Consider the following 12,745-nt stretch of genomic DNA (forward strand, 5'->3'; position numbering starts at 1 on the left):
TGAAAAGTTGAGCTGAAGAAATCCTAGTACTTGTCTATGCTTAAGTACTACTGAGTTTTAAATGTGAACTTGATTTTGCTTCAGAAGTCACATATTTATGCAGGTTTCTTTATAGCAAATATCCTTCAGTATTTTAGTCATTTAAAACATATCTCATTAGATATAGAAAACATCTTATAATAACCACATTAATAATCTTTATCCCCACCTCAAAATGATGGCTCTAAACTCAAAACAGTGTGCAAGTCAAGGTGCTATGAGGCCAGGAAACAAGCACATGGTTCTACCATCAGAATCCCATTTCAGCTGTTCCTGCCTGAGAGTAACTGCTGACCAGTTCACTAAAAGTTCCTCCACATTCTTCCAAAGAGCCTGAATTATACATTCCTATTGGGAGTTAATGGAAGCCCAAACAAGCAAAAACTAATTTTGGCTGTACTTTTGTGAAATTGATTCAAGTTAGGGCCAACTTCATGGGTATGTAACCTGCATGGTTGTACAGGGCATAGAACTCAGAAAGGCCCTGTGCTTAGTTCACTGCTCTGCTCTCAGCATCATGAAATGCTTAACAATTTTATTTTTGAACTTGTGTTTTGTAAGTGAATCCTGATAGGACAATGGAGCATGTGTGAGCAGAAGAGATGCATGCAACATGCCTACGTACTATGCTTTCCCTCCTCACCTGCATACAGAATTCATAGTGTCCCAGAGCACAGAATTCCAGGGGGCCCACAGTGCAAGACTCAAAGTTCATAAAGGAGGCGTGTTATATCTATAGCTGAGCAAGAGAGAACACTGAGAGGCCACTCTTTCCTTTTGAACCACAACTTGCTTCTAACACAGATAAAAATAATGGCATTCTCAGAAATTATATCACATCCTTTCTTCTTCAGCCAGCACTTAGGCTGAAAATTTTGACAAGAAAGGAAAGCAAAAGATAGGGCAACCCAGAGTCCCTTTACGTTTCAGTCCTTCCTTACTCATCAGCACACCAAAGGCAGACAGTGTTGGTTGAATATGCACGAATCAAGAAGTGACATAAAAACAAAGTAGTTTTGTCCAGCATTTTCACTATTTTGGTAAGAATCAAATATACATGCATGTGTGAGCTACAAAATTCAAATTGTGTAATTTTGGTAATACAAAAGCACAAGGTATATTTGTACATAATGGAAGTTACATTTGCTCTTATATTTGTGCTTAAAGGACACATCATAAAGATAAATGGTAACATTTATGCTAATCATGAAAATTTTCCATTTTTCTTTGGCATTTAATGGCATTTAATGCCAATTTTCCATTTGGCATTAAATGGCAAATTTTAAAACCCCATAACTAGTCAGGAGAGAGACTATGGAAGAAAAGAAAAGGTATTTTAGTACCTTTAGTGGCATTTTTTCCTGTTTGTTGAACAAAGGGCATCACATTTTTCATTTAGTGCTGGGTCCTGCAAATTTTGTAGCCACCTTGTAGGTGAGAAAAGCAGAAAATGATGAGAAAATTAAACTTGAAGCAATGACAGAAAAACATTAAACGACTATTTCTGCAGGGAGTCAGCAAAAAGTGTTCTAACTATTCATTCTGAAAGAATAATATACTATAACTTTCTCAATTACCTCTATCATTTAAACAAAGCACATTAATTTACTTCCCATTCACTTGGCCCTGGGGGTAGGGAGAGTCCCTGGTTATTTCAAGAATCCAATGTCTGCAGTAACAACGAGTCTTACACTAGGGGGCAGCAGCTACCGTCCAGCCACCTTCCAGGGCTCCAAAGCTGCGCCTTAGGTGAATCCTTACTTGAAGAGATCCTGAAAAAATGAAGGAAAACACATTACTAAAGAAGTTTTCTTTTTATCTTTATATTAATTTGCTTTGCTGCAGTGTTTCTGAAAGAGAATGGGCCGCTCGTTCTGAAGATTTAAGGTGTTTCTTTGCCAATAAAGAAATAGCAATTGAACATATTTTATCTGCTCACACTCCATGGCTCATTTCTGAAGTGACAAAGTAACATGGTCTGAAAGATCTTTTTAAACTTAGTTTCTCTGTACAGCCTAGTAGTAATTGGTAATTTTTATCTACTATGGATTTGATCAAAAGGAACAACTCATTGCACTGAGAACACTAAGCTATCGAGTGATACCAAGTGTTAATTTTGTAATTCATGAAGAGTACAGATTTTAGAGGGAAACTGCTGAGTCAAGGGATTACTCAGTCTTTACAAATCCACACTCACTCAGCTTGGCTTGAATTATTAAAGAATCAGGTTGTCCTAACTATGAACAAGAATCCAGAAGTCCAGACTTTATTTAAAAAAAAAAAAACCAGAATGTGTGAAGATGGGTATATTTGCAAAGATGTGGAGAGTTATTCAGTTTGTGCTAAAATAAGAATAGCATTGTCCTACAACTGAGTTGGCTCAAATATAGTTTGCAATATAGCATTCATTTGTTCCAACACAATTTTCCAAATACAAATTTAATGAAAATGTAGATTGAAAGTCCCATTAAATAACATGCTAAGAAACCACTATTGTGAATTCCAAATTCTCTGGCAATATTTCATAAAGAAGTTCTTTTTATCCCAGCTTACTATAAACCTTCAGGGTGGTGGTTCTCAATTGAGACAGTTCCATCTACTAGATAGTATTTGAAATTTTGCAGGGGTGTTTTTGGTGGTCTCAGTGATTACAGGAACTACTTCCTTTTAAGATGGTGGAAAAACGGTAGCAAGAAAACAAACAAAGAAGTTTACCAATGGGCCAAGAACCTGAACAGACATTTCTCAAAAGATGACACACAAATGGCCAATAAGTTCATGAAAAAAATGCTCAACAGCACTCATCATTAGGAAAATGCAAATTAAAGCCACAATGAGATACTACATCACATACAAAAGATAACACATGTTAGCAAGGATGTGGAGAAAAGGGAACCCTTTACACTGTTAGTGAGAATGTAAATTAGTACAGCCATTATGGAAAATGGTATGGGGGTCCTCATAAAACTAAAAATAGAACTACCATATGATCAAGCAATCCCACCTCTGGGTATGTATTCAAAAGTGTTGAAATCAACATGCAAAAGAGATATCTGCATTCCCATGTTCACTGCAGCATTATTCACAAGAATGTGAATGCCAAACTACGGAAGCAACCTAAGCGTTCATCGACAGATGAGTGGATAAAGAAACGTGGTACATAGACACAGGGAAATACTATTCAGCCTTAAAAAAGAAGGAAATTCTGCCATTTGTGACAACATGAATGAACATGGAGGACATTATACTAAGTGAGATAAGCCAGGCACAGAAAGGCAAATACCACATGATCTCACTGACATGTAGAATCTAAAAAAGTCGAACTCATACAAGTAAAGTGGGGGCTACCAAAGGCTAAGGGAGAAGGAGTGAGAGGGTATGGGGAGATGTTGGTCAAAGGGCACAAAGTTTCAGTTAGACAGAAGTAATAATCTTTCGAGATCTATTGCATATCAGGGTGATATGGTTAATAATAACGTATATTTCAAAGTAGCTAAGAGAATAAATTTAGAATATCTCCCAACAAAAAATGGTAAGTGAGGTAATTGATATGTTAATTAGCCTGTTTTAATCATTCCACATTGTATACCTATATCAAAACATCACATTGTACCCCATAAATGTATAAAATTATCATTTGTCAATTAAAATAATGTTAATTTTTAAAAATATGCGTGAGAGAGCCAGGGATGTTAAACATATTACAGAGCATAGGTCAACCCTTGACAATGAAAAATTATTGTCCTATCTCTCACAATGTTTAATGCCCTATCTGTTTTACATATAAGCATAAATTGTTTTTAGCATGGTTTTTTTTCCTCTCTTTTTGTTTTTAGAGACAAGATCTCATGCCCAGGCTGGAGTGCAGTGGCAAGATCATGGCACACTGCAGCCTTGATCTCCTGGGCTTAAGCAATCTCCCACCTCAGCCTCCCAAAGTGCTGGAATTACAGATGCAGGCCACCATTCACAGCCCTAGCATCATTTTAATAAAATTGAGTGTTCCAAGAATACAACTACCAGTTGAGTTGAGGAGAGATTATGCTTTATTTAACTCAGAACTTTACCCAGGTTTGTTAACCATCTTTGAAGTTCATTTCACAGGAGCATCTTAACTTCTGGAACTGAGTCACCAATAGAATAAACTGATAACAATCTGTGTTTGTAGCTCTTGATTCAAGGTGGTTCTAAGTATACATTTAAATATACTTTTTATTCTTTATTCAAAATGTCAAATATGAAAAGAAGAGTCAACTTGAAGGTAATATATTGGCATCAATATATTAACAGTATAAGCACCTGACTACTTCATTACATTTTGTAGCATAGCTACCATCTGTGCCTTTCCATACTTAAATATATATATATTTATATATTATTATATATAATTATATATATAATTTCTTTTATTTCTCCTTTATATCAAAGTTAAGGCATTACATTATTTTAATAATATTATTGATATATGATAGTTATATTTTTTAAAATTAATGTGCATTACAGACTATATTTTCTATAAATTTCATTTTAAGCTAGTAAAGGAGCATAAGAAAATATTTGTTATAAAAGGGGACCTTTAGTTCTCATAAGCTTGAGAACCAAGATTCTAAGGGTCTCTCTTTCATTTGTGAATTCCTCACTATTCCTCCCTCTTTCCTATCCATCCTACCACTTAAAAGAAGGAAATGGTCAGTAATAAGAAATTATTAGTAGCTAGGCCCATGAAGTAAGTTTTATTCTGATTAATAATGTTCTTTAAAAGACAGTTGTAAGCTGAGCATTCCTATGTGATGTGGATATAAATATAGGATTGTCAAAAGTTCATATTAACTCATTCATTATTTCATTTGTTAAGTATTACTATGTACCTGTGAGGTGTAAGGCATTTTGCTATTAAATTGATCGTGTCTGAAAAGCACCAAAATCATTGCTACACTGAAGAAAATCTCTCTCTGGGGGAACAAATGGATATTACATTAGGCAACAAAACAATTGACTGAGTGAAATGTTCAACTAGATATTTTGGAAGCATCTAATTTGTAACTCGTATTGGTCCCGAAAGCCAATCAGAGTAGATATGAAAGGGAAAAAATGCTAAAACTTTACAAAACAATTTTCATATTGGGGGAAAATACAATAAAGGAAATGGTGAGACTCTTTCTGACCCAAATATATATTTTTTAGAATCAAGATTACATCACTGTTAAATTAGTATAGCTGTAAAAGGTCTCTTGCATAACTATTTGCAATGAAATTCTTCATAGTAAATTTAGTAACAGAAAGAAACGGTCTTCTGCCATTATGAGAAACAAATTAATGTTATTTCCCCTGTCCCCAGCTTTTGAAATAACAGTAGGCAAAATAGCCTAGTGAAGGGTGGCTGTATGACTAGGAGCATGTTGCTTAACCTCTGAGCACATAGGTTTCTTTATATGATAACATTTACCTCATAAATTAAATGAATTAGCAGTTGTTATATGCTTAAAACACTGCTCAGCATATTAGAAACACAAAGCAAATAATAGCCATGATCATATCTCTTTTCCATATCAGAAGCGTGAAAACTGTTCATGGAAACAATTGCCTAATGTTGGAACGGCGGGCTTGACTTGACCAGACAGTCATATGCTTTGCTCAGTGCTTTTGTGCTCCAAATGCATGAGATACTAACCGGTCCTAGTGCAATTAAGAGTGTTTGACAGCCGGGCAATCCTAGCATGTTCCTAACTAAGCGATAATTGAAGATCTGTGTAGATTTTAGGTACAGGTTGTTACCCAGCAACAGATTGAAGTTCCGGAAGAAATTCTGAATTATCTCATTAATAAAGCAACTTCCTGATAGACAGCTATTGACTCTGACCACAGCGAACCCAAGAACTCATGATCCTCTAACCCAGAAAAAAAATATGCAGGTGAGCACTGATGAGGTGGCAAGATGCCAAAAAAACTGGTTTTACAACCTATCGGGTAAGTGAGCAAGTGGTGGCTAAAGGTTGGTCACATTATCTGGAAAGAGCAGGAAGATCAGGTCGACTGTGTTTTGCAGAGGTTATTAGCATAGCATGGGAATGCAGCTCTGCAGCCAAAGAAAGAACCCTGATGCCACTGGGGCATGCTGACCCATGATGCCAAATGGAAACTGCACCTGTCTGCCTTCCTTCTAGTCTCTCCATAGTGTATTGCATGACCACTGAACTCCCCCAAAAAGACATGCAGGAGGTCTTAGATTATGTCATTTAATGCTTGTAACTGTCCTACAGAGATGCTACTCTCATTAAAATCATCCTCTTTACAGATGACGAAACATAAATTTTGAGAAGTAAGTTGCTTAATGTCACAAAGCTGATGAGTGAGACTCATGAGCGAAGCTGTCTCATTTCTGATTTCATGCTGTCGATGAGATTGCCCTCTAGGAACCAATTACAACTAATGTTTGTTTAGGACTTTAACATTCAACGAGCTCAGAACCCCAGCATGCTGTAAGGTGGACCTTATCTTATCACCATCCCCATTCTATAGATAAGGAAACAGACAAAAAGATGTATAAGTGGTTTTCCCATGTTTATGCAATTAGGTGGTAGAGCCAGGATTTGAACCCCTGGTCTTTTGAATCTAAGCAGAATTTACAAGAGGAACACTCAAGCAGAATGGGGTGAGTTATGCTGAGCACAAAGCTTAAGAGAGCAGAGTTCTGTGGTCAGGACCTTAGCTGTTTTTTGCCTTTGCTTTGTCTGCCCAGACAATTATCTGATGATAACTTGCAATTTGTACATTCTGGATACATTACCTTTCTCTAGATGACATGTAGGATTTGTATAACCTAGATATGTCTTCTCTGTTGAAGATGAATATTGGAGATAGCACAATTGGATTTAAGCAATATCCTTAAATTAACATGTCAAGTGTACTTAGCTGCACTTGGAAATCCGTCCAGGTTTAATAAGCAAATACTACTGGTCCAAAGAGGAGATCACAGGATGAGAATCTTCCATCCTTTATGTTATAGACTGAATGTTTGTGCCCCCTACCCCCAAATTCATATATTGAAATCAAATCCCCAATGTGATGGTATTTGGACGTGGGTCCTTTGGGAGCTAATAAGGTCATAAGGGTAGAACCCTCATGAATGGGATTCGTGCTCTGATAAGAAGCCCCAGAGAGCTAGTGAACCCTCTTATTGCCATATGAGGATACAGTGAGAAGTCAGCTGTCTGCAACTGGAAGAGGGCCTTCACGAAGAACCCCAGCCAGCTGACACTCTCATTTTGGACTTCCAAACTCTGGAACTGTGAAAAATAAGTATTCGTTGTTTAAGCCATCCAGTTTATGGTATTTCGCTATAGCCGCCAGAGCTGAATAAAATATTCCCGGAGGACAGACATCTCTGCATTTTGGGGAGAATGTTATTTGCAGTTTTATTCCACTATTTTTATCTAATAGCCTGTTGCTTATTATGGATTTCAGCAGGTCTGATGATGAGAGGGTGGCTGAATGTCTAGGAAATTGTGCAGTGTAAGAAAGGAAATAACTCGTATAGATCTCTGCCAAAGTTTATTCCGCTGTTGGTCCTGAGACACTGGGTTGCCTAGTATCATAACACTGGCCAGGCATCACGAGGAAGCTATGAGCACTCGGTTGATGTCTGCAGTCACACGGAGGCCTCAGTTACTAAAGAAAGAGGAGTGTTACTGAGATCAGTTACTTCACACCCATTTTACCACATCTCCTCACCCACAGGGTACTGAATGTATCTATCTAGGAGACTGTATTTTCAGTTATAAAACATGATAAAATGTTTCATCAATTCATCCCTTTGGGCTCACTTTTAAATTTTGTTTAAGTTTTTCTGTTAATTTACTATAAATGTTTAATAAATTAAGAGTATATTATTCTCATGAGCTAACACTTCCTCCAAACTATTTTCAACCAATGAATTAAAGGATAATGGAATGCTTTTATCGGGTACATAATAAATGGTCAATGCCACCAAATGTTACCAATTTCCAATATTAGAGACATAAAAAATGTAGAAAGGCTGTTCATTTTATGAGGGGATGGTTGAGTGAATTAATTTTAAAAATATTTACTGGATGCTAGACACGGTGGTAGGTACTGGGGGTACTTAAATTAATAATTAGCCAGGACCCAATGCCCACCCTACATCAATTTCAAGAACAGGAACAATAAATGTAAATACATCAGAAGTATTCAACTTGGGGACTTTCAGGAGAATACAAAAATAGAAATAAGGAGACATTCTTTTCATCCTATTCTGGTTCAATTACTTTGTTCTCTGTACAAGCTGGAGAGCACATATTCTCCCATCATGAGAGAAAGGGTGGCGGTCATTCAACCCAAACCAATCACATGTGCTTTGGGCAGAAACTGTCAATATTAAGGCAAATCACATCCAGTTTATCACAGACTCAGTTAAAATAGAAGGAAAATATTCCCTGAAATATGGTCTCTGATGCTTGGTAACAGTGCTTTGGAGCTTGACAGATGTAGAGACAGCCAATCACCTTTACATCTGCCAAAATATCTATTCTCCAAAGCCAGAAAGATAAAACGCCTAAAACCACAATGTGAAGAGTTGAATATTGAAAATTCCATATGTTTTGCAGGTTGATGCTAAATCCTATGAGAAAAACCAGCACATCGGGGCTCTTGTAACCAACTTTCAGGAAAGGAATCCTAATCTCCGAGAGGCAGGTATAAGAAAGATTACTGTTTATAAAGGAGTATGGCCATGCTGACCTTCAAAGTGGGCAGAGCCACAGCAAGCCACCTCATCAGGTCTGATAACCATGTCCTGGAAATGGGTGATTTGGAGATGGCTGGTAGGGCCAACTATATAAGAGTTGGCCTTATTGGTGAAGTAGCCAAACAAATGAGGATGCTTCAAAACTACCATTCGAGTGAACGGAGTTGGGCAGTGGGGGACAGGATTTAGGGCTGAGCACCTAATTTCTCAATCAGATAAAGGGCAAGGTGGTTCTCCTCCTCCCAGCTTGGGTAGGAAGTGCAATCAGTCCGATTTCACAACAGAGAAGGCAAATCCTCCTATGCTGATGTCTTCTCCTAAAATCTATTCCTTGCTCACTCTATCATAGGCACACTGGCCTCCTGACTGTCCCTTGGTTGTGCTGTGCATGCTCCTAGCAAGGGCCTTTGCACTTGCTGTTCTCTGTGCCTGGCACACTCTTCCCCCTGATTTCCTCATGGCCCCCTTTCTCACCTCCTTCAAGACTTTCCTACTATCTCAGTGAGGCCTAGTGTATTCATTTTTTATTGCAGCCATAACAATCACAACTTACTGGCTTAGTATATATAGGGTGAATTCCCATATACACTTCATGTGGCATAAGACAATACAGATTCATTTTCTTATAATTCTGTAGGTCAGAGAGTCAAAGTGAGTCATATCAAACTAAAATCAAGATGATTCTAAAATCGAAGAGGACAGTCTGTGTTCCCTTCTAAGGGCTCTAGGGGAGGCTCCCTTGTAGGACGGAGGTCCCTGTTTCCTTGCTGTCAGCTGAAGGCTGCTCCTGGCTTCTGGAGACTTCCTGCATTCCTTAGTGCTGGCCCCCGGCCTCCACCTTCAAAGCCAGATATGTGGAGTTCTTCTTCCTTCTTTAAATGTTATGAATGGCATTTATTTAGTAACACTGACATTGGTATTAAAATGGGACTACACATTTAAAAAAATCACTGTATTATAAAAATGTCATAAATTTCTCTGGACTCTAAAATTGAAATAAAATTCATAAACACATATCCTCATTTCTCTAGAGATGGATGCGTCTTATGTAGGTAGAAAGAAAATGAAATGGCTAATATGTACCCAGTTTTAAAGGGTATCTAAGGAAAGGTATATTAAGGACACTCAGTTTTTAATTTGGGCTATAATTTTTTTTTGTTTTTTGAGACAGAGTCTTGTTCTGTCACCCAGGATGGAGTGAAGTGGCGCGATCTTGGCTCACTGCAACCTCTGCCTCCCGGGTTCAAGTGATTCTCCTGCCTCAGCCTCCTGAGTAGCTGGGATTACAGGTGCTCACCATCACGCCCAGCTAATTTTTGTATTTTTAGTAAAGATGGGGTTTCACGACGTTGGCCAGGCTGGTCTCGAACTCCTGACCTCAAGTGATCCGCCCGCCTTGGCCTCTCAAAGTGCTGGGATTACAGGCGTGAGCCACAGCACCTGGCCAATTTGGGTTATAAATTGTGAGTGAGAAAATCACAGAGGTGACATGCCCTTGCATCACTTAATATAAATGGGTACATGATATCCACCTGACTTATCACTAGTGATATTAACCATGATCACTTGGTTAATATCACTTGTTTAAGGTGGTGTCTGTCAACTTTCTCCACCGTAAAGTTACTATTTTTTTCCCTACTCTAATCTTTAGAAATGAATCATTAAGTCCAGTCCACACTGAAGGGGATGCTTTATTTATTCCTTATTTGAAAAAATTTTTTTTAACTTACAGAAAAGTTACAAAAATCCTACAATGAATTCCCATATACACTTCATCTAGATTCACCACTGATAACATTTTCCATATGTGGTTTATCAAGATCTCTCCTGCTCCCTCTACAAATATACATATTATTGCTATTCATATGACTATTTGAACTGAAACATTTGAGAGTAAATTGAAGACATCATAACCTTTTGTCCCATATACTTCATCATGTATACCCTAAGAACAAGCAATTCTTTCATCTTCATAGTACAATGACCAATTTCAGGAAATTTAATATTAATATAATGCTATTATCCAATATAGAGACCAGCACTTCCACTTCTGTCTCTGATGGAGTATCTGGGACTAGTCCTCTTGCCTTAACTGTAAAACTGGATGAAATATCAAAGGCAAGTGTTTTCAGACATTGGCGAACAAGCAATACGAGGCAGAGTAGGCAATGCAAGACTGCAATCAATCCCTGAAGGCAGGGAAACCTAAGAGGTGAACGTCATGATGAGCCTGGCTCCCTGCCTGGGGAAATTTTCCTAACTGCAGAGTAGTGATCCAGAATGCACGCAGAGCACAGCAGTCCCTCTGAACTGAGGAGGAAGAGATCAGAGGTTGGGGCAGCTGAAGTGCCAGAATCTGCAAGGCAAGGTCCCAGGGAGATGGGAGCTGTGCAGGTTACAGAAATAAAATTATGAGTTCATACTAATACCTCTACTTCCAATATAATTGCACTAGGCTTTCCCTAGCCTTCCCCCAGCCCATATTTCTGGCTCCCTTTCAGAAGCCCGGTTTGAGAGCAGACAGGCAAAGTCACCATTTCCACTGTCCAGTTTCCTAGCCAAGGGAAAACCTGCCAGTGATAAGGTGCGTAAAATGAGGGATGTGGCCCAAGAGTCATTGGTTTGAAACCCAGAGAACTGATGACGTAAAACTCAGAGAATAACAGATTTAGTAAGGGTGCACCAAACATAAATAGAAATGTAGGGGGTAGAGAACAGCATATTTGCCATCTAAAGCCCCAGTTGTGATATTCTTTAACAAAAATTCCCAGTTATTTAGTTGTAGTTTTTTTAAATTGACTCACTTATTACTGCTTACCACAGCTCCTTCCTTTCTGAGTACTGTATTTTGATTCCTTTCTTTATTGTCTGGTGTCCATCTTTCAGTAACTTTTTTCAAGAAAGCTTCGTGGATTTGGTCTCCCTTGGTTCCATGATTATCACCTTGGCCACATATCGTAATGAACTTGAAAACTTTTGAAAAACTACTGACTTTTGGGCATCATCCCAGACCAATTCAGTCAGGTTCTCTGAGGGTAAGATCCATGCAACAGTATTTTAAAAAAAAATTCCTCTAGTGAGTCTAATATGCAAATGAATATCTCCAATCTCAAATAAATTACACAAACAGGCTCTCTTAGTGGGGCAAAGAAAAACCAAAGAAAGTTGCAAGTGAAGTTCAAAAACACAGGGTTGATTTGAGAATGTTGGTTTGTTGCCTTTATACTAAAGGAACTCCTTGGATTTTTTTAAAAAATGCATCACTTTTTTCTTTCTCTCACAACTATATAGGCTGGTGCATTTCAAATTTTAATGTGCTTTGGTCCATTGGAATCATCTTTGCATCTGGTCAAAATGCAGATTCTGATTCAGTAGATCTGGAATGGCAACTGAGATTCTGCATTTCTAATAAGCTCACAGGCGATGCCAATGCTGCTGGTTCATGGACCACACTTTTGAGTAGCAATGGTATAAATCCTGCTCCTCTGCCTTCTGTAATAAGAATTGCTTTGGAGGAATCTGGGGATACCTGAACATGGCCATTGTTTCCCTCTTGAGTGGCTTGCTTCTTTTTCCTTGGATGTTAATATGATTTTCTTCTTATCTTTGAAATTCAGATATAGTTAGGTTACATGTGTTAAGCCATAAAATAACGATTCCCACATTGATATTGCATTTGCCTCTGAACCCTTTTTTGTTCTTGTGCCTGTGAGGCCTAACTCCACAAGACTTTCAGCTCTTCCTGAGGACTTTTCATAGGATTGACAGGATGCCTGGCCTACCTAGTGACTGAGATTCTGGTTTCCTTATTTATGCATTTGTTACAATCAAATGGGTTTGTTCTTTGCAACCAAAAAAAATTAAAGACTATGGATTTTAAACCAGACAATGTAAAAATAAAGACTGCATAGAATGCTGTGGCAAAAAGCAACATTAATGCAA

The 12,745-nt window shown here is 38.0% G+C and overlaps 1 annotated feature.

The window, feature by feature from the left end:
* Positions 1,623-1,692: a silencer, noted in NCBI's record as "silent region_4299". NCBI's record gives its function as "represses an Ori minimal core promoter by ATAC-STARR-seq in GM12878 lymphoblastoid cells {active_cell/tissue: GM12878}" and the evidence as "EXISTENCE:reporter gene assay evidence [ECO:0000049][PMID:35858748]".

This window comes from Homo sapiens, chromosome 12 (genome assembly GCF_000001405.40).
Source record: "Homo sapiens chromosome 12, GRCh38.p14 Primary Assembly".
Classification (NCBI taxonomy): Eukaryota; Metazoa; Chordata; class Mammalia; order Primates; family Hominidae; genus Homo; species Homo sapiens.